We start from the raw sequence: 25,718 nt of genomic DNA on the forward strand, positions 1-25,718 counted from the left end.
AGGACGGGAGGGAGCTGGGACTGTTCGGCTGCAGGGTGAGTCCTCGCTGCCCGCTGAGTCGGAGAAGATGCATTTGGGGCCCTTTTCCCCCCTCTCAGGGATGGCTTCTCAGCTTCTGGGGCTGGGTGGAGTAGCACGGGACCAGGCCTGCAGGAAGCAGGAAGCACTCAGCTCCCATGGGTGGGTGAGCTCAGAAATCAGCCCGGGCCCACCAAGGGGCGGGTGCTGGGGGCCGGGAGGTGGGGCCATCCCTGCCCCCAGGACCTCCCTGGGTGGCCACTGCCTCTGCTCAAAAACCCCCTGTCTAGTCACTGCCTCTGCCTCCTCCCACCCAAGCTAGAAGAACCAGGGGGCCAGAGAGTTGGAGAGTCAGGGAGGAGACCAGCTAGAGTTAAGTGGCCATTGTGGGGCTTCAAGGGACCTTGGTGGGGGGGGTGGGACTCTCGAAGTCACGAGTGGGCCAAATCTAGCTAATAAAACTGTTTTGTTGGGCCCGAGCAGTGTTTTTTCATTTGTCCTTGTTTTTAATTAAAAATTATTGCCATTGTTTAAAAATCAAGAGATTTTGCCCACCAATCTGGCTTTCTGGCAACCCCAGGCCTGCTGCGATTGCTCCCTGGAAGCAGGCCACATGATCTCCAGTTTTCCAGGGTCCTCACGTTTTAGAAATGGCACTTGCTTTCCTGGTTGACTGGTGTCTGCCTGGCCCCCAGAGGCATTTGAGTTTGAGACCCCAGCCTCAGGCAGACATGGAAACCCTCCTTCGCTGGCCAGTACCCAGCAGGGTGAAGGCAGGAGGAGTAGAGGGTCTCTCCACACTAAGGGAAGGGGCTTAATCAGACTTGTTCTATGGGATTTGTAGGATTTGCTACAGGCCACGTAGCAAGATTTAACTTGGTCTAACCTTCACCCCCCAAATGGCACAGGGTGACCATACAGTCACAGCCTCCCTCCTGTTTCAAAAGTGTCCTAGTTTGGGTGACATGGGCATCCTACTTGGTGGCTTCCAGAGGGCTTTCTGGCTGCCAGATCTGTGTCTTGTGCTGGCTTTGGCCTGGGAGCTGAGAGGCAAGGACTGGAGTTCAAGGAATTTCTGAGGCCTCTGGGTTTGATGGCAATGTCTAGGATGCTCTCTGGGACACATCAGTGCGTCCTTAGGCCTCTAGGATGGGGAAGGGGGCTGGGGGATCCTACCCTGACCACACTGGGCTCAAGTGCTGTGAGAATGTCTCCAGTGCCTCGAACAAGCCCCAAACCCAGCTTGGCTAACAGAGTCACTCTCTGTGCCCTGCTGCCCTGACCCCCATCCCTGCCTGGCCACCCAGCTCCACCTGGGGATGGGGCCGATGGCTCAGGTATCCCCAGCCCCCTCCCGTTCAACCCCAGAGTACAAGCCATCCCTTTCATGGGGCGGATCATAACATGTGGACTCGGCCAGGCATGCGAAGGCAGGCGGACCCTGGAAGCAGCCTCAGGAGGGGGGTTTGGAGGAGAGCAGGGGAAGCTTGCAACCATGCAAAAAAGCCAGGGATCTGGCAGGGAGATGCGTGCAGAAAACATGCTTCCCTTCTTGGAGCCAAGTGGGGGAGGAGACACATGAGGCAGGTAGGGGTGGAGACGGGAAGGGTTTGGGGCAGTGGGGGAAGGGTACTAGTCTGCCCTCATCCACCCTCCATCTCTTCCTGCATCAGTACCAATTCTTTCCACTGCCCCCAGAACTTCTGACAAGTTCCCTCTTCCTGCCTTCCACATTTCAATCCATGGCTTGGGAGGTGCAGCTTCCTCTCTTCAACACCTCCCCTGAACTTCCTGGCTAGAATGTGATGGGGGTGGGACACAGCCCCTGGAAGACATGAGGACAGCGTCCTTGTGGTCTTTTCTTTTCCAGTGCTGTGCTCAGATGTTCCTCAAGTGCTCAGAAGGATATGGAGACCACCCACCTAAGGGCTCCAGAAAAGTCCTACTACTTGTAGACCTCAGCTCCAAGCTGCAGCCCCCACAACACCTGCCTATCTGACTTATTTCGGGATGTCCTAAAGGCACCTCAAACTTGCTATGCCCACACCTATTCTCTTCCCCCAACCTGGTCCTTTCCTTGCACTCGCTCACCTCTATCACCCAGTATTTTTTTTTTAAGAGAGTCTCACTCTGTTGCCCAGGCTGGAGTGCAATGGCACGACCTCGGCTCACTGCAACCTCCACCTCCCAGGTTTAAGTGATTCTCCTGTCTCGGCCTCCTGAGGATCTGGGATTACAGGCACCTGCCACCACGCCTGGCTAATTTTTGTATTTTTTAGGAGAGATGGGGTTTCACCATGTTGGTCAGGCTGGTCTCGAACTCCTGACCTCAGGTGATCTTCCTGCCTCAGCCTCCCAAAGTGCTGGGATTAGAGGCTTGAGTCACCGTGCTCAGCCTATCTCCCAGTTTTAAGCCAGACCCGACTGCTCCCAGGCACCTCATCTCAGTTCAGACCTGATCTTTCCCTGGGTCCTGCAGAGGACAACCCTCCCACTGTTCTCTCTCCTCCACTGTCATCTCTTGCTGCGATTCCTGGTGCCCACCTCCAGCCCAGCCTCCTGTCAAGCTGTTCCCTGCCCTGCAACCAGAGCGAGCTTGTCTAGTCACATGACCAGTCGCGCCTCCCCTGCTTCCTATCCTCCCAGGCCCTTCCTGGTGCTTAGGAGAAAGCCCATATTCCACAATATAGCCCCGCCCTCCCCAGCCCCGGGTCCTGTCCCCTTCTGCCTTCTTCGGCTGTCTCCAGGCCAGCCTTTCTCGGCTGTCTTTGCATCAGCCACATTCCCTCGCTTGCAGATCCTGACCCCTCACAGGTTCCGTCCCACCACAGGGCCTTTGCATGTGCTGTCCTGGGCCTGGAATGCTCTGTGCATCTCTCTCTGCCTTGTTAATGCTGCTCATCCTTCAGCTCGCAGTGCAGGTATAATTTTAAGTGGAGTCAAGGGGTTATTTGACCGATGCCTGCCTCCCCCACCTGACTGTATGTGGTAAGAGGGGACAGTAATGGTGTCTGCTTCTGCCCATAATTCCATCTGTGGCACCAAATAGGGGCTCATTAAATGTTTGGTGGGTGAATGCATGTGTATTGCCAGCAGGGAAGGGATGATTCCAGGGCAAAGATGCCATTGGGGCGTCCCTCTAAGGGCCTCATTGGTGGGTAGGAGAGGGGCAGAGGCAGTTGAGATTTAACAGAACAAGGGGTGTGCAAGGGGCTGAGAAGTGGGGGAGGGAGAGAGATGTGTGCAGTATGTACTGGAGTGGGGGTACAGGGTGGGTAGATGTAGCAGAGAGGGCCAGTGTGTGTGTGTGTGCATGCGTGCATGCATGCATGACTGTATGTGAGAGACACAGAGACAGGAACAGTGAATGAGGATTAGAGGCCAGGTGTAGTGGCTCACACCTGTAATCCCAACACTTTGGGAGGCTGAGGCGGGTGCATCACTTGAGGTCAGGAGTTCGAGACCAGCCTGGCCAACATGGTGAAACCCTGTCTCTACTAAAAATACAAGAAGTGGCCTGGCGTGGTGGTACATGCTTGTAATCCCAGGTACTCAGGAGGCTGAGGCATCATAATTGCTTGAAACGGGGAGGCAGAGGTTGCAGTTAGCTGACATTGTGCCACTGCACGCCAGCCTGGGTGACAGAGCGAGACTCTGTCTAAAAAAAAAAAAAAAAAAGAGCGAGAGAGAGAGAGAATTGGAGAATGAGTGAGAAAAAGAGAAGAGGTCATGACTATGTGCAGTGTCTGTACATGCAGTGACTGTGTGTTCAGTGTGTGGGTGCATAGACTGTGTGTGCAGTGACTGTGTGTGTATAGCGACTGTGTGTTCAATGTGTGAATGCAGACTGTGTGTGCATGCATAGTGGCTCTGTGTGCAGTGACTGTGTGTGCAGTGTGTGTGCATAGTGACTGTGTGCAGTGACTGTGTTTGCATAGTGACAGTGTGTGCAGTGTATGTGTGCACAGTGACTGTGCAGTGTGTGTCCATAGTGACTACATGCAGTGCCAGTGTGTGTACATAGTGACTGTGCACAGTGTGTGTGCATAGTGGTGTGTGCAGTGTGTGCATAGTGACTGTGTGTCCAGTTTCTGCGTGCAGTGACTGTGTGTGCGCAGTGATTGTGTGTGTGCAGTGTGTGTGCAGTGTCTGCGCAGTGACTGTGTGTGTGGATAGTGACTGTGTGTGCAGTGTCTGTGTGCAGTGACTGTGTGTGCATAGTGACTGTGTGCAGTGACTGCAGTGACTGCGTGCAGCGTCTGTGTGCAGTGACTGTGTGCACAGTGTGTGCGCAGTGACTGAGTGTGTGCACAGTGACTGTGTGTGCAGTGTCTGTGTGCAGTGACTGTGTGACTGCGTGTGCACGTACAGTTCAAGGCTCCAGGAGAGGGCCTCAGTGGGCCAGCCCCACATGAAGCTACCAGATCCAAGTCTGGCACTTCTGAGTTCCTCTGCCTGAGAGTCTTTGCCGGCACACTGCCTGGCCTTCAGGTCTCCTTTATCAGACTTGGAGAGTCAAGTCTCTGCTGGTCAAGGCCAAAGATCTTGTGGGCTTGAGATGGAGGATTGGGGACAGCAGGATGGAGAGAGCTGGAGGGGCGAGGAGACAGTTGGCAGCTTTCCTGGGGCCTGGGGTCCATGGAGCTGAATGGGGGACAGGAGTGGTGAGAGGTGGCTGGGAGTGGATTTGCCTCTATTGTCTCTGAGTGTAGGGGATGTGTGTGCGGGATGGGGCAAGAGAGAGGTGCTGCGCTGGGAAAACCCATCCCTTTCTCTGCAAAAGACGCAAACCACCCCAAACAGAAAACCCCCATTCAGAACCCGATAAAAACAGAGAGACAGAGTCTACAGGAAGTGGGAGGCACAGGGGCTGGGGGCGGGAGGACAGACAGACAGAGGAGAGCGGAGGGTTGAGGAGAGCGTCAGGCATCCCACGTTGGAGAGGCAGGGTGTGGCATGCAATGCCGACGCGAGGAGATGCGTTCACAGTTAATGTAAGGCATTTAGACTTCAGAAAGAAGTAAGACCAACCGGATTCTAGATGCAGATGTTGAAGATGAGGGGGAGCGGGCGGGCGGGGGCAGTTGGGGAGGCGTGTTCAGCATTTTTTAGGTTGATTTGTAACCAGTGCCAAAAAACCAATGGGTTTCGGTTCCCGGGCGGGGAGTGGGGGTGGTGGTGGCGGTGGGTTGGGAGATAAGTCATTGGTGTATGAACACACAGACCATGTCATGGATGAACAAATGAATTTCATAGTGCATTTTGATTGGATGAGTTTTTCAGACGGCGTTGCGCCAATATACAGTTTTAAGAGCAGGCATGAAAAGAGACAAGACAAGAAACACAGTCATTATCCATTGCACACAGGGCAAACCCACATCACCCCAGCCACTTGGGGGCAGCAGCTGAGACAGCACTGGTTAGTACTGCCGCATGCCCTCTGCCCCCTAAACCCCAGGGACCTGCCCGCCCAAGCATCTGGCATTTCCTGTCTCAGCCTGGCCAAGCCCTGGCCTCAGAACTAGTGGGCTTACCTGGGAGGCAGAAAGGGGCAACTGAGACCTCCTTGCCTGCCAGGACATGCCTCTCCCTACTCCAGGTTGGGAGTTAATTGTCCCAGAAGGACCCAAACACCCACCCCCTATCTTTCCCTCAAATTGACTGTAACTCAGGGCTGGCTAACAAAACTACACACCCATTCACAATAACAATAACAACAGCAGTAATAGTTAACAACCACCATTTTCAAACTCCTGGTTTCCTGGCAGGTTCTGTGCCAAGCACTTCACGTTTCTTTCTTTCTTTTTCTTCCTTTTCTTTTTGAGACAGAGTTTCACTCTGTCGCCCAGGCTGGAGGGCAGTGGCACAATCTTGGCTTACTACAACCTCTCGCCTCCTGAGAATCAAGTGATTCTCTTGCCTCAGCCTCCTGAGTAGCTGGGATTACAGGCACCTGCCACCGTGCCCGGCTAATTTTTGTATTTTTAGTAGGGACAGAGTTTCACCATGTTGGCCAGGCTGGTCTCGAACTCCTGACCTCAAGTGATCCACCTGCCTTGGTCTCCCAAAGTGCTGAGATTACAGGCGTGAGCCACCATGCCCGGCCTGTTGATGCTTTTACTTGTAAAAAGTTCCCGTCTCTCTCCTTAGAATGTCAGCTCTATGGGAGCAGACACTCTGTATTCTTGGTCTGTTTTGTTTGGCACCCCTCCTTCTCGTTCTGTCTCCAGCACTTATAATCACACCAGGCACACAGTAGGTGCTCAATGAATGTCTTTTGAGTGCATGCATCACTGTGAGTCTTGCAAGTGTCTGAGGTTGGTTGCAATGGTTAGCCCCACTCTACATGAGAAGAGATAGCGCAAGTTGTCCAAGATCAAACAGCTGGTAGGGAGGGCTGGGGGCTGTTTGGCTACTGCAAGGGTCCTGATGTCCCATGAACACCCCATGCCCCATCTTCCTGCCAGCCAGGAGAACAGGCTGTTGGAGTCTGTCCCTACAGCTCTCTTACTGGTGATTGAAGGTTTCAGCTAACTTCCTCCACCCCACCTGCCCTTCTGGGGAGCTGGACCATCCTTCTAACCTCTTGACCCAAAGGGACATTGGTTCAAGGCTGTCTTGTATGTAGCCGGATGGCAAGATATTTTGATTGCCAGCTGGAGCTCCAGCCCTCTCTAGAAACTCAGGACAGGGGAGAATGACCAGGTGGGGGCACCCCAGTGGAGAGAGCCCCCATGTGGGCAAGAACCCTCTAGAGGAAGGTTTCAGGGATAGGGTGAGGGGAAGGGGAAAATTCTGGCTCACTGGAGCTGAAGGCAAATAAGTGTGTATCACTTGGGTGCGGGTGCCGTAGGACATATCAAAGAATGGCCCCCTCTTTTGTGTAGTTCCCCAGCCCCTCCTGGCCTTCTAGGACGGAAGAGCAGGCAAACAGATCCTTTTCTGTAGGGGGATCTGACTGGGACACCCCAGGAGCTGTCAGTGTACTCTCAGGAGTCACCCAGGCCTGGCTTTGTGACCTTGGGAGTGTCTCTCACTTCCCCAGGCATTGAAGATCAGTTTTCTTTCTTTCTTTTTTTTTTTGAGATGGAGTTTTCGCTCTTGTCACCCAGGCTGGAGTGCAATGGTATGACCGTCGCTCACTGCAACCTCCGCCTTCCGGGTTCAAGCAATTTTCCTGCCTCAGCCTCCCGAGTAGCTGGGATTACAGGCATGCACCACCACACCTGGCTAATTTTTTTGTATTGTCAGTAGAGATGGGGTTTCACCATGTTGGCCAGGCTGGTCTTGAACTCCTGGCCTCAGGTGATCCGCCGGCTTCGGCCTCCCAAAGTGCTGGGATTACAGGCATGAGCCACCGTGCCCAGCTGAGGTCAGTTTTCCCATCTGTGAAATGAGGCAACACCCTCTTCCTCAGGCCCGACCACACCCAGATCTATTCTCCTGACTTCCCTGCCTGCTCTGAGCATCATATTCAGCTTGCTTCCGGTTTACTTTGGGCCATGGGAGGCTCTGGCAGGAGATAAGGGATGAGGGGAGAGAAAGGTTGGGGTGTTTCTCCCCTATTGCTCTCTGCCTGCTTGGGCCCTGGTCTCTGTCTCTCCACATTGACAGGACAGCTCCCACTTGGTGGCTTCTCCTGGCCTCCGGCTCAGGTTCCCTCCCCACTTCAGCACCTGGGCAGGTGACAGCTCCCCACGGTGGGTGGTCGCTGGACACCTTGCCACCCTTGTGGGTACCCTTCCCTTCCCCTCCACCAGTGAGGTCTGCATTTGGGTGCCTTCAGTTGAACCCTCCGAGGGAATTCTCTTACGAGCTGAGACCAAGACCTCTACCCTGAGCCAATCCACGTAAACCACTTGGCACAGTTCCCTGGCACACAGCAAGGCTGCGATTCTCGTGAGCTATTGTTATTTTTATTGTTAGTAAGATGACATTGGTATCACCCTTGACCCTTGGCTTTGACACCCTTTTTTGACCATTGCTTCCCCCTGCAAGGATCTTCTACCCTCCCCCCAATCTCCTGAGGGACCCCAAGCCTGGGCTCATTGGCAGATGGCCAAGGAGAGGGTCTAGGACAGGACCTCTGGGGCCCTGAGTCTTCCAGAAAAGGAGAAGGGCAATGTGGCCTGTGGGGCCACCACAGAGAGGTCCAGAGACTCCCATGTTGAGAGTCTCCCAGGCCCGGGGCTAGAGGAGGGAAGACACCCTGGGGACCCCTCTATGGCCCTGGGAGTGGTGTCCCCACACTGGCCTGAGGGCTGTGGCTCTCTCCTGCCCACTAACTAGGAGAGGGTTGGTTCAAACAGAATTGACTTGAAACCCATTCTTTCTGGGCTCCTGACATAGGGTGGTGTTTGGGAGCCGGCTCAGCTTTCAGAGCTTTTGAGTGTCTCAGTTCCCTCAGTGTACTCATCTGCATTATTAATTCCTAGGCCAGGATGCAGGAAAGCCCACCCCTCAGTGCTGGCCCTACAGCCAAGCTTTGGTTACCCCCATCTCCCCACAATGCCCTCCTGAGGGGCTGCCCTTGTCCCCGGGGCCCCAGTTCTCCCTCTCTGGTCATGGCCAAGTGCTGGCTCAAGCAGCTATGGCTTCCGGGACACACTGCCTCTGGGACCGCTCCCCCGCCCCCTGCCGCCTGCCTCGTCCAGCCCAGAGTCACCCAGAGAGAAGCTGGAGGGAGACTTACCCCAAACTCAGTCACGAGGATATCGGTGATGCTGCCCAGAACAGTCACAAAGTCGAAGATGTTCCAGGCATCGCGGAAATAATTCTAGAATGGGGACCCACAAGACAGAGATGCCAACAGAGGGCTTGGTTCCCGGCCCCCTAGGCTGGCCGGGTGCATGTTAGAGGCACAGTTGCCCATCAGCGGAGTGCCCGGGACAGTTATGGTTGTTCGAAGGGCTGCGGTAAAGGCTGTTCGACATCATCTGTGCTGAGTCTCCCTCCCTGGGAACTCCTGGGGGCCTTCCCATGATTGGCCTGGCCCCAGAGGGGGCCTCCAGACCCTGCTTCAGCTCCACAGGGCTGGGGCTGCTCTTCAGAGCTGTGGCCTGTCTCTCCAGCATTTTTGAGGGCTCCCGAGACCCCAGGGGCTTTATAAATGACATCACTGAGCTCCTCATGAAGATCCTGGAGGGAAGGGTTATCACCCATTTTCTTTTTCTTTCTTTCTCTTTTTTTTTTTTTTTTTTGAGATGGAGTCTCGCTCAGTCATCCAGGCTGGAGTGCAGTGGCACGATCTCGGCTCACTGTAACCTCTGCCTCCTGGGTTCAAGCGATTCTCCTGCCTCAGCCTCCCAAGTAGGTAGGACCACAGGTGCATGCCACCACACCCAGCTAATTTTTGTATTTTTAGTAGAGACGGGGTTTCACCATGTTGGTCAGGCTGGTCTCGAACTTCTGACCTCAAGTGATCTGCTCACTTTGGCCTTCCAAAGTGTTGGGATTATAGGCGTGAGCCACCACTCCCAGGTATACCCATTTTCTAGGAGGTAACCAAGCCACTCATCTGCCTGAGGCTAGCAGCACAGAGATGTAAAGCCAGGATTTGAACCCAGGCCTCAGAGAGCCCACAGTCTGTGTTCAGGTCCCCACTAGGTTGGCAGCATACTCGCAAAGAAAGGAGACTCTGGGTTCAAATCCCAGCTCTGCTACCACAGCTGTGTGGCTATGGGCAAGTGGCTTAACCTCTCTGGGCCTCCATTTCCTGATCTGGAGGCGGACAGTAACAGGGTGCAGAACAGGCACTGGACGGGGCTTTGGGGCCTTTCAGGCACACGCACTTCCTGGTCCCCTTGTGTTTAGATGGGGCCATGTGTGTCTAGGTGCAGTGATGTGCTGTGTGTGGAAGCAGTGTGGTCACTTTCTGGTCAGTGTTGGACTCTCTAGCCTCTCAACCCTGGGCTTGGCGACCAGTAACATTTTGAATGGCAGCTACTCTGTGAGCCTGGGTCCCTGGGTAACTATGAGGCAAACAGCTTCCCTGCTGAATGTAAAAAACCCTTCCCATCAATTTAAGTCACTGAGATGTGGGGGCTGTTTGTTACTGCAGCTTCACTTGATCTATCCTGACTGCTGCATTCCTGGGCTGGGTGCTGGCTCAAGGGGAAACACAAGCATAACCTCTCTGTTTGTTTTTTTTTTTTGAGACAGAGTCTCACTCTGTCGCCCAGGCTGGAGTGCAGTGGCACGTTCTCGGCTCACTACAAGCTCTGCCTCCCGGGTTCACACCATTCTCCTGCTTCAGTCTCCTGAGTAGCTGGGACTACAGGCGCCCACCACCACGCCTGGCTAATTTTTTGTATTTTTTAGTAGAGACGGGGTTTCACCATGTTAGCCAGGATGATCTTGATCTCCTGACGTTGTGATCCATCCGCCTCGGCCTCCCAAAGTGCTGGGATTACAGGCGTGAGCCACCACGCCTGGCCTCTCTTTTGTTAAAATATGGAAATACTCCACATTGTTTGGAGAACAGTCACAGCCTCAAGTCCCACAAGGTCTCCTGCTATCTCTGACTCCCCTCAACCGGGTACTGACATGGTGATGGGTGGCACCCCAGTTTGGATCCAAGAGTCTGGGTCAAAGAGATGGCCCTCCCCTCTGGGGTCAGTGGGACCCAAAACACAAAACACAGGGCCTTCTCAGCATCTTCGCAGAAGCAGAGGCCAGGTCAGGGGTTGGGGCGGTCAGTGTGACCCTGAAGTAGCCCCTCTACCTTACAGAGAAGGAGCCTGACCTTAGAGCTGTGCTTCCCTCCTAGGCGAAGTGCCTGGGGCCTCTGCGCCCTTCTCTGGAAGGCAGTGGTAACACAGCAATCAGACAATGAATGTGCGTCGCTGAGCATGGAATATACAGTAGGTGCCCAACAGATGGGATGTTGTTGTTTCACAACTGCCTAAAAAAGGAATTCAGGGGGCCGGGCGCGGTGGCTCACGCCTGCAATCCCAGCACTTTGGGAGGCCGATGTGGGCGGATCACGAGGTCAGGAGATCAAGACCATCCTGGATAACATGGTGAATCCCCATCTCTACTAAAAATACACGCACACAAAAATCAGGCAGGCGTGGTGGTGCGCGCCTGTAGTCCCAGCTACTCCGGAGGCTGAGGCAGGAGAATGGCGTGAACCTGGGAGGCAGAGCTTGCAGTGAGCAGAGATTGCACCACTGCACTCCAGCCTGGGCCACAGAGCGAGACTCCGTCAAAAATAAATAAATAAAAATAAATAAATAAATAAATAAATAAATAAAAAGGAATTCAGGTCCCACTGGCACTTTTGGCATTTTGGCAGGTGTTGCTGGGGCCCTGCCCATAGCTCAACTACACACCTGAGGTACACTACTTTGCCCAGGGTCTCTCTGTGGCTGCACAAGTGTTAGGGAATTAATAGCTCCCCTGGGAGTGGCCTGTGATTATGTCTGATGGGCACTGGAGGATAAATACTCCAATTCCCTCCCTGTGAGGTGGGATGACTCTGTGGTATGTGCTCTCTGTTGCCTCCTGGAGGTATCCACTGAAACTGAGCCCCATTTGTTCACAGCAGGAACTGGCTTAATAATACACTCTTTCCTGGTTGCCTTTCTGTCCCTGTGTCACTTCCTCTCTCCCTTACTGCCCTGCATCCCAGATAAATTCCTTGCACTCAATCCTTGTCTCAGGCTCTGCTTCTGGGGGAGTCCAAACAAAGACAACTTTATAGGCGTTTGGTCACAGACCTCAACCCCTAGGCTAGAGAGCTCCCCTCTATCTCCCAAATGTTATACAGGGAACTTGTGGCTTCATTTAAAACTGAAAGGGGAGACCAGGCGTGGTGGCTCATGCCTATAATTCCAGCACTTTGGGAGGCCAAGGAGGGAGAACTGCTTGAGGCCACGAGTTCAAGAACAGGCTGGGCAACAGAGTAAGATCCCATCTCAAAAAAAAAAAAAAAAAAAAAAAAGAGAAAGCAGAGGGGAAGCTCAGTGCTGGCTCTTGCAGGATTGGCAGGGTGAGGGAGATGCAGCTCCAGGCCCCAGTGGAAGACTCACTTCACCAGCAGAAGATCAACTCAGAATAAAATAACTGCAGGCTAGGTACGGTGGCTCATGCCTATAATCCCAGCACTTTGGGAGGCCGAGGCAGGCGGATCACCTGAGGTCAGGAGTTGGAGACCAACCTGGCTGACGTGGTGAATCCCCGTCTCTGCTAAAAATACAAAAATTAGCCGGGCGTGATGGTGGGCGCCTGTAATCCCAACTAGTCGGGAGGCTGAGGCAGGACAATTGCTTGAACCCGGGAAGCAGAGGTTGCAGTGAGCCAAGATTGCACCACTGCACTCCAGCCTGGGCAACAGAGTGAGAATCCATCTCAAAAAAAAAAAAATAATAATAAATTACAGATTCAGTGATTCCCTCCCACCTCACCAAACCAAATGAATCAGAACATCTAGGGGTTTGCTCAGGGTATCATTTAATTTTAAGAAATTTCCCTAAGTGCTTCTTTTTTGATTTTTAGAGTCCGGGTCTTGTGTTGTTGCTCAGGCTGGAGGGCAGTGATGTGATCGCAGCTCACTGCAGCCTTGAACTCCTGAGCTCAAGTAATCCTCCTGCCTTCGCCTAAGTAGTTAGGACAACAGTCATGTGCCACTATGCTGGCTAATTTTTCAATGTTTTCTAGAGATGAGGTCTTGCTATGTTGCCCAGGCTGGTCTGAAACGCCTGGGTTCAAGCAATTCTTCTGCCTTGGCAGAAGTCCCAAAGTGCTGGGACTACAGGCATGAGCCACCACACCTGGCCTCAAGTGCTTCTAATAAGTAGCATCTCCACCAAATGAAAGCCACTGTTTTGGAGGAAAAAGGTCCATTAGTAGGATCCCTTTCCTAGCATTTATTTATTTATTTTGATACAGGGTCTTGCTCTGTCACCCAGGGTGGGGTGCAGCGGCTCAATCACGACTCACTGCAGCCCTGACATCCTGGGCTGAATCCATCCTCTCACCTCAGCCTCCTAAGTAGATGGGACTGCAGGTGCACGCCACCACACCAGGCTAATTTTGTACTTTTTGTAGAGACAGAATCTCACTATGTTGTCCAGGTTGGTCTCAGACTCCTGGGCTCAAGCGATCCACCTGCCTCAGCCTCCCAAAGTGCTGCGATTACAGGTGTCAGCCACCGTGCCTGGCCCCTAGCATTTATTGAGTGCCCATGCCAGGCCAGGCTTCATCCTCAACCCTCTAGATGCACGTTAGTCCATTTGCTGTTTACCAGGGCTCTGCTGAGGTGGAGGGGGAGGATGGCTCCTTTTAATGATGGGGAGGTGACAAAGCTTATATAGGACGAGGCAAGATCTGAACTCTGGTGCTAAAGCTGATGCCCCTAACCACCTCCGTGAGCCAAGGTGGGAACCTGGTTTCCTGAGACCCTGGCTGAGACCCAGACTGTAGGTCACTCTCTTCAAAGGGATGGACTAAGCTGGTGGTCAAGAGAACAGATGTCCTGGTTCAAGTCCCACCTTGGCCACTCACTGGGGACCTTCAAGAATTCACTTCACTTCAAGTCCCAGCCCACTAGTATAAGCCTTCTTCACCTTAATTTTTTTTTTTTTTTGAGACAAAGTCTCACTCTGTCACCCAGGCTGGAGTGCACTGGTGCCATCTTGGCTCACTGCAACCTCCGCCTCACAGGTTCAAGCGATGCTTGGGCCTCAGCCTCACGAGTAGCTGGGATTACAGGCACACGCCACCATGCCTGGCTAATTTTTGTATTTTTAGTAGAGACGGGGTTTCACCATGTTGTCCAGGCTGGTCTTGAACTCCTGACCTCAAGGGATCTGCCCTCCTCAAGCTCCCAAACTGCCGGGATTACAGGTGTGAGCCATCACACTCAGCCCCCAATTTTTTAAAAAATAATTTTAATTTAATTTAATTTAATTTATTTATTTATTGAGATGGAGTCTCACTCTGTCACCCAGGCTGGAGTGCAGTGGCAAGATCTCGGCTCACTGCAACCTCCGCCTCCCACGTTCAAATGATTCTCCTGCCTCAGCCTCCCGAGTAGCTGAGACTACAGGCATGCGCCACCACACCCAGCTAATTTTTGTACTTTTTAGTAGAGATGGGGTTTCACCATGTTGGCAAGGGTGGTCTGGATCTCTTGACCTCATGATCCACCCACCTCTGTCTCCCAAAGTGTTGGGATTACAGGTGTGAGCCACCGCACTCAGCCAACTATACTTTTGTGTGTGTGCTATGAACCTTGGCCATGTGAGAATAGTGCTGGCTATTTTATTTTATGCATAAAGGCTTGTAAATGCATAACAAAATAGCAAGGGCTTCAAGGTTACCTTTTGTAATAAAATAGCTATCAAAATATTTTTTAAGGCTAGGCACAGTGTCTCATGCCTGTAATCCCAGCATTTTGGGAGGCTGAAGCAGGCAGATTGCTTGATGCCAGGAGTTCGAGACCAGCCTGGCCAACATGGTGAAACCCCGTCTCTACTAAAAATATAAAAATTAGCCTGGCATGCTGGTGTGCATCTGTAGTCCCAGCTACTCAGAAGGCTGAGATGGGAGAATCGCTTGAACCCAGGAGGTGGAGGTTTCAGTGAGCCAAGATTGTGCCACGGTACTCCAGCTTGGGCAACAGAGCAAGACTGTGTCTCAAAAAAAAAAAAAAAGTTTTAAAAATGGCGATCTAACAATGAATATACTTCTCCATTAACACACTGAGTAGGCCGGGTGCGGTGGCTCCCGCCTGTAATCCCAGCACTTTGGGAGGCCGAGGCGGGCGGATCATGAGGTCAGGAAATCAAGACCATCCTGGCCAACATGGTGAAACCCCATCTCTACTAAAAATACAAACAATTAGCCAGGTGTGGTGGCAGGCACCTGTAGTCCCAGCTACTCGGGAGGCTGAGGCAGGAGAATGGCGTGAACCCAGGGGGTGGAGCTTTCAGTGAGCCGAGATTGCGCCACTGCACTCCAGCCTGGGCAACAGCGAGACTGTCTCAAACAAAACAAAACAGAACAACAACAAAAAAACACTGAGTAACAAATTCTAGCTGTAGGTTTAATCACAAGCAACATTTTAAAGCAATGATGAATGCAAATTAAATGTTAAGGTATCTGCAGCTCTTATAATGCAGTATGAAAATATCTGATGTTTATAAGTGACACAGGTCATGTTGATAATATTAAGGGTTGATAATACTAATACTAAGGGTTTGTTATCTCCCTTTAAGATGGAAGGAAATGTTAAAATTTAGTTAGTGGCTGGTGAAAAATAAAGACATATTTATTTTTATTATTATTATTTTTTTGAGACTTGCTCTGTTGCTCAGGCTGGAGTGCAGTGGTGTGATCTCAGCTCACTGTAACCTCCACTTTGTGGGTTCAAGCGATTCTCCTGCCTCAGCCTCCTGAGTAGCTGGGATCATGGGCACCCACAAGCACGCCAGGCTAATTTTTTGTAGTTTTAGTAGAGATGGGGTTTTGCCATGTTGGCCAGGGTGGTCTCGAACTCCTAGGCTCAAGTGATTTGCCTGCCTCTGCCTCCCAAAGTGCTGGGATTACAGGTGTGAGTCACTGTGCCTGACCTCTGTGTTTGTTTTTTAAAGATGGAGTCTTGCTGTTGCCCAGGCTGGGGTGCAGTGGCATGATCATAGCTCACTGCAACCTCCACCTCCTGGGCTCAAAATATCTTCCCACCTCAGCCTCCTGAGTAACTGGCACTACAGGCACGAGTTACCATGCCTGGCTAATTAAAAAAAAATTTTTTTTTTTTTTGTAGGGACAGGGGCTTGCTTTGCTGCCCAGGCTGGTTGAGAACTCCTAGCTTCAAGCGATCCTCCTGCCTTGGCCTCCTGAAGTGCTAGGATTACAGGCATGAGCCACTGTGCTCAGCCTGATTTCAGTTTTCTTTCTTTCTTTCTTTTTTTTGAGACAGAGTTTCACTCTTGTTGCCCAGGCTGGAGTGCAGTGATGTGATCTCGGCTCACCACAACCTCTGCCTCCCAGGTTCAAGCGATTCTCCTGCCTCAGCCTCCCGAGTAGCTGGGATTACAGGCATGCGCCACCACACCCGGCTAATTTTGTATTTTTAGTAGAGACAGAGTTTCTCCATGTTGGTCAGGCTGGTCTCGAACTCCCGACCTCAGGTGATCCGCCCACCTTGGCCTCCCAAAGTGCTGGAATTACAGCCATGAGACACCTCGCCCAGCCTGATTTCAGTTTTCTTATCTCTAAAATGGATGCTAAAGACTCCCAGCCATGATGACTCCCATCATTTTGAGGAACTGGATACATAAGCAGCCATATGGTAACACTCACAGGTTGGGTCTCCCTGGGACTCCTTGGCAAACACAAGAATGCCTAAGTAGGATCTGTGGCCACTGGCAGGATACTGAAGCCACCCTTGAGGTTGGGGTTCTTGGGGCCACGTTGGGAGACCATCATCCAGGACCCATTGTTCCCCCTTGGGCTTCTCCCAAGCCCATAGCTGTAGCCCCAAGGTGGTACTTACCAGAATCCCAAAAGCCATGACTTTCAGCACACATTCCAGAGAGAAGAGGGAGGTGAAGACGATGTTGAACACCCGCAGGGCATTTTCATAAGCAACAGAAGCCCCATAGAACTAGGGGAAAGAAGCAGGAGTAGCAGGGGTCAGCGAGCAGGGGTGGGAAGTGGGAAGTGGGGAGGCAGCTTCATGGCTGTTCTCCAGGCAACACTCCAGCCCCAGGCAAGGTCTGAGCAACCTCACTGGTAGGAGGCACAGTTCAGGAAAGCCCCGCTCTCCGCCGGACTAGGCTCTTCTTTTCACATCCAAAAAAACAAAAACCTCCCCCAACCTTTTTTTTTTTTTTTTGGTAGACGGGGTCTTCCTATTTTGCCCAGGCTGGGCTTGAACTCACAATCCTACCTTAGCCTCCTGATAGTCGGGACTATAGGCATACGCCATTGTGCTTGGCTGAATTATACTTTTTTTTTTTTTTTTTTTTTGAGGAGTCTCACTCTGTCACCCGGGCTGGAGTGCAGTGGCGCGATCTCGGCTCACTGCAAGCTCCACCTCCTGGGTTCATGCCATTCCCCTGCCTCAGCCTCCCAAGTAGCTGGGACTACAGGTGCCCACCACCATGCCCAGCTAACTTTTTGTATTTTTAGTAGAGACAGCGTTTCACCGTGTTAGCCAGGATGGTCTTGATCTCCTAACCTTGTGATCGCCCTCCTCGGCCTCCCAAAGTGCTGGGATTACAGGCGTGAGCCACCGTCCCCGGCTTCCTTATTTTTTTTGAGACGGAGTCTCACTCTGTTACCCAGGCTGGAGTGCAGTGGTGTGATCTCAGCTCACTGCAACTTCCGCCCCCTGGGTTCAAGCGATTCTCATGCCTCAGCCTCTCACGCAGCTGGTATTATAGGCATGCGCCACCACGCCCAGCTAATTTTTGTATTTTTAGTAGAGACGGGATTTCACCATGTTGGCCAGTTGGTCCCGAACACCTGGCCTCAAGTGATCCGCCTGCCTCGACCTCCCAAAGTGCTGGGATTACAGGTGTGAGCCACCTTGCCCGGCCACTATTGATCGTTTTTGAAGTGCCGAGAAGGAGCTAAGGTCCTTGCATGAACTTTCTCATTCAATCCTCTCACCTCCTCTGGAGGGGGCAAATGTGCTCTTATTATCATTCCCATTTTATTGACAGGGAAACTGAGTCCCCAGAAAGTCACTGGTTGCTTGTACAAAGGTAAATGAATTAAATGGAAGAGCTGGGCTTGAATCCACGCTTTGGAGTCCAAAGCACAGGGTGAAAGGTTTTCAGAGTTTTTTTTTGGAAGCCGCTCCTTAGCCCTGGGGATTTTAGGGTCCTCACCTACCCCTTCTCCCTCATTTCTTTCTTTTTCTTTTCTTTTTTTTTTTGAGATGGAGTCTTGCTCTTGTTGCCCAGGCTAGAGTGCAATTGCGCTATCTCGGCTCATGGCAACCTCCGCCTCCCGGGTTCAAGCAATTCTCCTGCCTCAGCCTCCCGAGTAGCTGGGATTACAGATGCGCACCACCACGCCTGGCTAATTTTGTATTTTTAGTAGAGATGCGGTTTCTCCGTGTTGGTCAGGCTGGTCTCGAACTCGTGACCTCAGGTGATCCGCCCGCCTCGGCCTCCCAAAGTTCTGGGATTACAGGCATGAGCCACCGCGCCCAGCCCCCTCATTTCATTAATCAAACATTTATAGAGAGCTTCTTGTTCCGTCTGAGCCAGATCCTTGTTGGCCTCTAGGAATTCAGGGCTGAGGTCATCATAAATGGGTGGGGGACACTGTCATGCAACCTGACGCAGATTTTTGTGGCAGGCGACATAAAGATAGGATGCCTGCTAAGATGGGCACCTCAAGCAGTCTTGGGTGGTCAGGGAAGGCTTTCTGGAGGAAGAGGTCTGCAGGTACAGCTGGGAAGAAGAAGCTGGCCGGGGGAGTGGTGGGAACAGTGTGTCAGGTAGAGGGAACAGCAGGAACAAAATCTCAGAGGTGATCCAGAGTGTGGTCTGTCTGGGAAACTGCAGATGGTTTCATTTTATCAGGGTAGAGGCAGGAACGAGGTGGGGGTTAAGTAGTGCTGGGGGCTGGTGTGGGGCACTTACCTTCATCATAAGCACGATGGTGTTGAGGGCGATCATGGCCATGATCGTGTACTCGAAAGGCGGAGACACCACGAACTGCCACATGCGGTACTGGAAGCTCTGCTTGTTCTGCGGCATGTGTCGGGTCAGCGGCTTGGCGCTGATGGCGAAATCAATGCAGGCCCTCTGCGGGAGAGAGGCCAGTGGTGAGAGCGGCAGAGGCAGGAGGAAGGTGGCTGTACACCGGGCACCCTCTGTCTAACTCGTCGCGGTTCTCAAGTGCTTCTGCTTGAGTCTCTGCCTCTCTTGCCCCCAGCCAGGATTCCTGGGCTCTCTCTTCCTTCTCACCATTGCTTTCTTATCCCAACAGCTACAGTTGCTTGAGATGTCACCAACTGCCAAAACTTGCACTGACATTTCCCCATTATTGCATGGCTAATACAAACATGGGAAGTGGGTACTATCAATGGCCTCACTTTGCAGATCACCAAAATAGAGGCTTAGAAAGGTTAAACCACTTGCCTGAGGTGACACAGCTACCGAGTGTGCCAAATCAAATTGAAGCCTAATCCTTCTTCCCCTTCCTCCCTCCCTCGCTCCCTCCCTCCTTCCTTCCTTCCTCCCTCCTTCCTTCCCTCCCTCCCTCCTTCTCTCCCTCCCTCCTTCCCTCCCTCCCTCCTTCCCTCCCTCCTTCCCTCCCTCCTTTCCTTCCTTCCTCCCTCCCTCCTTCACTTTCCTTTTTCCTTCCTTCCCTTCATTCCTTCCACCCTTTCCCCTTTCTCCTTTCCTTTCTCTCTTCTTCCTTCTTTCCTTCGCTCCCTTTCTTTCTTCTTCATTCCTTCTTCCCTATCTCCTTCCTTCCCTCCCTCCTTTCTTTCTCTCTCTCATTTCCTTCCTTCCCTCCCTCCCTCCCTCCTTCCTTTTTTTTTTTTTTTCTTTGACACGGGCTTGCTTTGTCACCCAGGCTGGAGTGCAGTGCAATCACAGCTCACTGCAGCCTTGACCTCCTGGACTCAAGTGATCCTCCCGCTTCAGCCTCCTGAGTAGCTGGGACTACAGGCGTGCACCACCACACCCAGCTAATTAAAACTTTTTTTTTTTAATCATAGAGATGGGGTCTCACTATGTTGCTCAGGCTGGTCTTGAACTTCCGGGCTCAAGCAATCCTCCTGCCTTGGCCTCCTAAAGTGTTAAGATTACAGGCGTGAGCCACTGCGCCCAGCCCATTCTTTCTTACTGAATACTTTGCTGCGTCTTCTCCTTCTCTTTGAGGGAGAGAGAAGGAGGAATAGTGGTTATTAAGTCTTAAGGGTCAAGGGAGCAGAGGATATATTCTAGGTCCTCTATTTAGCTTGGATGATGCCAGAGAGGCAAAGAGTCATGTCTATACTCTCTGGTAGACAGGGGACTGGATTTTCTTTCCTTTTCTTTTTTTGAGAGAGGGTCTTGCTCTGTTGCCCAGGCTGTAGTGCAGTGGCATAATGATAGCTCACTGCAGCCTCGAACTCCCAAGCTCAAGCATCCTCCCACCTCAGCCTCCCATGTTACTGGGGCTAAAGGTGTGCACCATCCTGCCTGGCTAATTTTTTTGATTTGTAGTAGAGATGGGGTCTTGCTATGTTGGCCAGGCTGGTCTCAAACTCCTGAGCTCAAGTGATCCTCCTGCCTCAGCTTCCCAAAATGTTGGGATTACAGGTGTGAGCCACCACACCTGGCTTGGCTTTTCATTCATAAATATTCACCACCCTTCGCTAGGGGAGATTGTATTTGCCCACTCCACTGATGTCAGAATGGATGTGTGACTTGCTTTGGCTGATGAAATGTGAGCAGAAGTGACATGTGTAATTTTTGAGCACAAGCCTGAAGAACTGAACCTCAGTCTGACATACTCTCTTTTTCATCTGGAGCATCTCAGAGGGAGGCTGCTCTGCTGCTCTGCCAGCCTGGGAACCAGAATAAAGATGGCAAGATCCACAACTGATGTTGACATGCAGTGTGAGCAAAAAATAAGTCCCTTTGTGGATATTTGGCAATGAAATCTGGGGTTGCTTGTTACTGCGGCATAACCTAGTCTAAACTGACTGATACATACACTATATGATGTGTTTCCTCTGGAAACTCCATGAAGGGCTGCCCTGAAGACTGGATTCGGTTGGGACAATGCTTCTGTTCCCTCCCCCAGGTACCCCTAGAAAGGGGTTCCTGGGTGTTGTGTGTGTTTTAAAGTTTGTGTGTGTCCCCAGTTTTTAAAGGACAGATGGAATTGGAAGTGGCACCTCATTTTTCTCCAGGCTGTATTCCTCCATCATCTTGTCCCCTTGCTCCTGGAAGGTGATGATGATCAAGGCCACAAAGATATTGACAAAGAAGAAGGGGAACACCACAAAGTAGACGACGTAGAAAATGGACATCTCCATGCGGTACCCGGGGCTGGGGCCCTGGTTCTCAAAGGTGGCGTCCACCGAATGCTTGAGGACCCTGCAAGGAATGGGGCAGGGAGAGGGAAGGGGCAGGAAGGAGAGAGACAGGGACCCAAGGGGTGATGAGGAAGGTGGAGAGAGGGTGGAAGTGAGATGGCAGAACAGGAACAGAGGGAAATGAAAAAGAAATTTAAGTAGTCGCTGTTTTTTGAAAGGCTGACAACAATGTCAGTTATTTCTTAATTTTAATTTTAATTTTTTGAGATGGAGTTTCGCTCTCGTTGCCCAGGCTGGAGTGCAACGGCGTGATCTTGGGTCACTACAACCTCCGCCTCCCGGGTTCAAATGATTCTCCTGCCTCAGCCTCCCAAGTAGCTGGGATTACAGACATGCGCCACCAAGCCTGGCTAATTTTTTTGTATTTTTAGTAGAGACGGGGTTTCACCATGTTGGCCAGGCTGGTCTTGAACTCCTGACCTCAGGTGATCCACCTGCCTCGGTCTCCCAAACTGTTGAGATTACAGGTGTGAGCCACCACGCCTGGCCAATGTCAGTCATTTCTACTGCTGTGCATGAAGGGCTTGCTGTGTGCTGGAAACAATATTCAACAATTCATCCCCACCGGCTCAGCAACCCTCCCAGGGAGGTTATTACTGGCTCCACTTTGCACATGAGGAACTTGAGGTTCAGCAATTTAAAGGGACGTGCTGAAGACCACCCACTTATAAGTGGCCAAGTTGGGATTTAAAGACAGGTTGTGGCAATGGAGGGAGTAGAGGTGGGTGTATGCATGTAGAGTGGGTATTTGAGCACAGGTGGTGCTGGGTGCTCAGGAGGTACAATGGGGATATATATGAGAGTGGGTAAGTGCACAGCAGCTCTGTACAGTAGTGCAGGTTGCACACTGCTCAAAGGCTCTGTGTCTAAGCGATACCTTCACATGATAGGCATGATAGATTTGTGTATTCATGATGACAATTTTTTGGCAGGTGGTCCTTCAGTGCCTTGTTTGAACAAAATCATTTAAGTCTATTGCGATGATTTTCAGACAGATGGAAATGAAGTCTGTTGAGAAAGGTGTTTAAAAAAACTTTGCTCAAAGGTGCCTTGTGGGTTAGCATTATTCCCACATGTGTGAGTACTGGATGTGTCTGAGAGTGGGTAGTAGGGCATGTTCAGGTTGGCATATTTGCTGAGAGAGGGAGGGAGGTGAGGATGCTGAGGGCACATGCTGGAATCTACCAAGCTTCCAGCCTGGCATTTCCAAGACCTCTGAGAGAAAGACCATTACTTGGACGAGGTGAGGGAGGGAGGCATTTGTTTTGGGTGCAAATTAAGGGGGTACTGAAAATCTCAGTAATCAAGATAATCTTTTGCTCCAATATTTTAAAAAATCAAAATTAATGCAAAAAGTCCATGATGAACAAATATCAATTTCTTCTTCTTTTTTTTTTTCAGGGATAGGGGTCTCCTTCTGTTGTCTAGGCTGGAGTACAATGGCATAATCACAGCTCACTGCAGCCTTGAACTCTTGGGCTCAAGCGATCCTCCCACCTCAGCCTCCTGAGTAGCTGGGATAACAGGTATGAGCCACCACAAGTGGCTCAAAATTTTAAATAAAGACTAAGTCCATGATTCAGCCTCACTTTTTTTTTTTTTTGAAGGCGGGGAGGCCATAGTCTTGCTCTGTCACTCAGGATGAAGTGCAGTGGTGCAATCTCGGCTCACTGCAACCTCTGCCTCCTGGGTTCAAGTGATTCTCGTGTCTCAGCCTCCTGAGTAGCCGGGACCACAGGTGTGAGCCACCATGCCTGGCAGCTTTTTTTTTTTTTTTTTTTTTTTTTTTTTTGGGATTTTTAGTAGAAATGGAGTTTTGCCATGATGGCCAGGCTGATCTCAAACTCCTGGCCTCAAGTGATACATCTGCCTTGGCCTCCTAAAGTGTTGGGATTACAGGCGTGAGCCACCATGCCCGGCCTCCAAGACCTTTCTTATTGCTAAGCTCTCAGGCCCTTTATCCTCCTGCTCCCCAGGGCTCCTCCTGGATAGATTTCCAGTCGGGCCACTTACTGTGGCCAGCCTTCTCCCGTGGACACGGTGAAGAGGGTCAGCAGAGCCCACAGCACATTGTCGTAATGGAATTCATACTTCTTCCACTCCCGGTCTCGCGCCTTCACCTCATTCTTCTCGTAGAGGAGGTATTTGCCTCTGCCACAGAGAGTGGGGACTGTTAGTAAATGGGAAAGAGGGGCTGTCTTGCACTTGTCTTTGGTTATCAGAGACAGGGGGAGGGAAAGGAAGAGTGGTCCACCAGCCTAGACTGCTTGGGAAGCAGTGACTCCCCATCCTGCCACCATGTGTTCCTGTGCTTCATAGGGGATGACGTGTGCATCTACTTTGAGATAAATCCATGGGTGATGGCACAACCTTACTCCTGGTGGGAGAGCTGACCCAGGGTCCAGCACCCTCTTCCAACGTGATAACTTCTAGTCCTCAGGGTGAGAGCCTCAGGCTTGCTGGGGGTGGGGTGGAGGGAGTTTAGGAGGAGGCAGAGAGACATAGGGGACATTTAGAGGTTCATCAGGCTAAGGGAGGTTGCTACTCCTTTTCAAGGCAGGAAACAAGGGTTAGTTCCAGACTCCTATCCAGACATCTGGCATCCTCCTAATTTCAATAAATAGCCATCAAGATAACAACAGGCTACCATGTGTTGCAAAATGCCACTTTACACTGGTAACAATATCACTATATATACACATACATATATATACACACACACATATAATACATATGTGTGTGTGCGTGTACATATATATATATACATATATATATATATATATTTTTGTTGTTGTTGTTTGTTTGTTTGTTTGTTTGAGATGGAGTCTGGCTCTGTTGCCCAGACTGGAGTACAGTGGCCCAATCTGGGCTCACTGCAAGCTCCGCCTCCCGGGTTCACGCCATTCTCCTGTCTCAGCCTCCCAAGTAGCTGGGACTACAGGCGTCTGCCACCATGCCCAGCTAGGTTTTTGTATTTTTAGTAGAGACAGGGTTTCACCGTGTTAGCCAGGATGGTCTCGATCTCCTGACCTCATGATCCGCCCGCCTCGGCCTCCTAAAGTGCTGAGATTATAAGCATGAGCCACTGCGCCCGGCCTATATGTATATATTTTTGAGAGGCAGGGTCTCACTCTGTCACGCAGGCTGGAGTGCAGTGGTACCATCATAGTGCATTGCAGCCTTGAACTCCTGTGTTTAAACAATCCTCCCGCCTCAGCCTCCCGGGTAGCTGGGACTACAGGTGTGTGCTACCATGCCCCGCTAACTTTTAAAATTTATTTTGTAGGATGGGCTCTCATTATGTTGCCCAACCTGGTCTCCAACTCCTGGCCTCAAGTGATCCTCCCACCTCAGCCTCCCAAAGTGTTGGAATTACAGGTGTGAGCCACTGCACCTGGCCTCTTACCTAACTTATTTGGTAATGAAACCTGATCTGATTGGACATGAAGCTCTTTATACTTGTTATTTACCCCATTTGATGTAAATAGTTACACATTTTATGGCAGAAATATTGTGTTTGATTATAGGGCTGCCTTAGACCCAGCTGAGGGTGTCATGTCCCACATGGGAATCTCAAAATATTCTCAACTTTGAAACACATCTGCCTGTAACGATTTCAAGTAAGGAACTGTGGATGTGTATTAATATCCCTCACATGACAAAGGCGGTGGCTGAAAGGTCAATCAATTTGCTTATGACTCATTCTGTGGCTCTGGGTGGTGACTCAAATTCTAAAACCGGTTTTCTTTCTACCCAAGATCCAAGCTGGTTGCAACTGAGTCACTTCCAAGGCTCATCACTTCTCCAGTCTCTGAGCCCAAGTGGCCAATGCCTCTAGCCACTTCCCCCCTGCCCACCTGCTGGTTCCAATGGGAATGTGCTGGAAAGTGGAGACCCACCGACAATCTTTCTCAAACTCTTTGGACTCGTCAGTGCAGTGGAAGAATTTCCCCTTGAAGAGCTGCACAGCCACCACGGCGAAGATGAACATGAATAGCATGTAGACGATGAGGATGTTGAAGACGTTTTTAAGTGAGTTCACCACACAGTCAAACACAGCCTGTGGGGTGGAGTTGACAGAGAGCATGAGGGGCTGGGGACCTGCCCAACCTTCTGCCTCCAGTGGCCCATCATACCAAAATACTGCCATGATCATTCCCATTTTACAGGCAAGGTCATAAGTCAAGTCACTAGGGTAAGGTCCCCCCAGCTTTCAGAAATAAGCGTTGGAGGAGTTGGACTCAATCCTGGCATTCTATGGATCTAAAACTCCCAGATGGGATACCAGAGATGCTTTTAAGTGATACAGGAGCCCAACACAGAAAAACAAGGTAACAAAGTTACTTCCTTTCCAACTCTCTCAATCCTTTTGAGTGAAGGAGAAATTTTTACTTAGTTGCTACCATGTTAACACCTACCATTGACATTTTCCCTCTTTAACCAAGAAAGAGCAGTTGTCAATGCACAAAGCCTTAGGCAGGCAGCCATATTTGGTTAGATTTCCATAACAGTATCTGTTTTCTGTCTTTAATTTTTAGTAGAGACAGAGTCTAACTATGTTGCCCAGGCTGGTCTCATTCTCCTGGGCTCAAGCAACACTCCTGCCTTGGTCTTTCAAAATGCAGGGATTACGGGTGTG

At 51.2% G+C, this 25,718-nt stretch overlaps 1 protein-coding gene across 5 annotated transcripts in view, besides 2 other annotated features; it reads right to left on the bottom strand.

Annotated features, from left to right (window-relative positions):
- Nucleotides 1-25,718, bottom strand: part of CACNA1A (calcium voltage-gated channel subunit alpha1 A) — a 300,038-nt gene that overhangs the window by 30,030 nt on the left and 244,290 nt on the right. For 3 of the 5 annotated variants that reach the window (NM_001174080.2, NM_000068.4, NM_023035.3), the window contains exons 26-32: nucleotides 24,979-25,139; nucleotides 23,093-23,230; nucleotides 20,879-21,080; nucleotides 18,624-18,788; nucleotides 16,520-16,630; nucleotides 8,711-8,794; nucleotides 5,050-5,055 (exon numbers count right to left, since the gene is read on the bottom strand). In NM_001174080.2, the coding sequence (NP_001167551.1) occupies nucleotides 5,050-5,055; nucleotides 8,711-8,794; nucleotides 16,520-16,630; nucleotides 18,624-18,788; nucleotides 20,879-21,080; nucleotides 23,093-23,230; nucleotides 24,979-25,139 (867 nt within the window). The remainder of the gene's footprint in view (nucleotides 1-5,049; nucleotides 5,056-8,710; nucleotides 8,795-16,519; nucleotides 16,631-18,623; nucleotides 18,789-20,878; nucleotides 21,081-23,092; nucleotides 23,231-24,978; nucleotides 25,140-25,718) is intronic. The other 2 variants (NM_001127222.2, NM_001127221.2) reach the window with 1 other exon arrangement.
- Nucleotides 24,267-25,466: an enhancer, noted in NCBI's record as "MED14-independent group 3 enhancer chr19:13371552-13372751 (GRCh37/hg19 assembly coordinates)". NCBI's record gives its function as "activates an origin of replication core promoter dependent on BRD2, BRD4, P300/CBP and CDK7 cofactors, and independent of MED14, by STARR-seq in HCT116 cells {active_cell/tissue: HCT116}" and the evidence as "EXISTENCE:reporter gene assay evidence [ECO:0000049][PMID:35650434]".
- Nucleotides 24,675-24,904: an enhancer, noted in NCBI's record as "active region_14128". NCBI's record gives its function as "activates an Ori minimal core promoter by ATAC-STARR-seq in GM12878 lymphoblastoid cells {active_cell/tissue: GM12878}" and the evidence as "EXISTENCE:reporter gene assay evidence [ECO:0000049][PMID:35858748]".

The sequence above is a fragment of the Homo sapiens genome, chromosome 19 (assembly GCF_000001405.40).
Source record: "Homo sapiens chromosome 19, GRCh38.p14 Primary Assembly".
NCBI classification, from domain to species: Eukaryota; Metazoa; Chordata; class Mammalia; order Primates; family Hominidae; genus Homo; species Homo sapiens.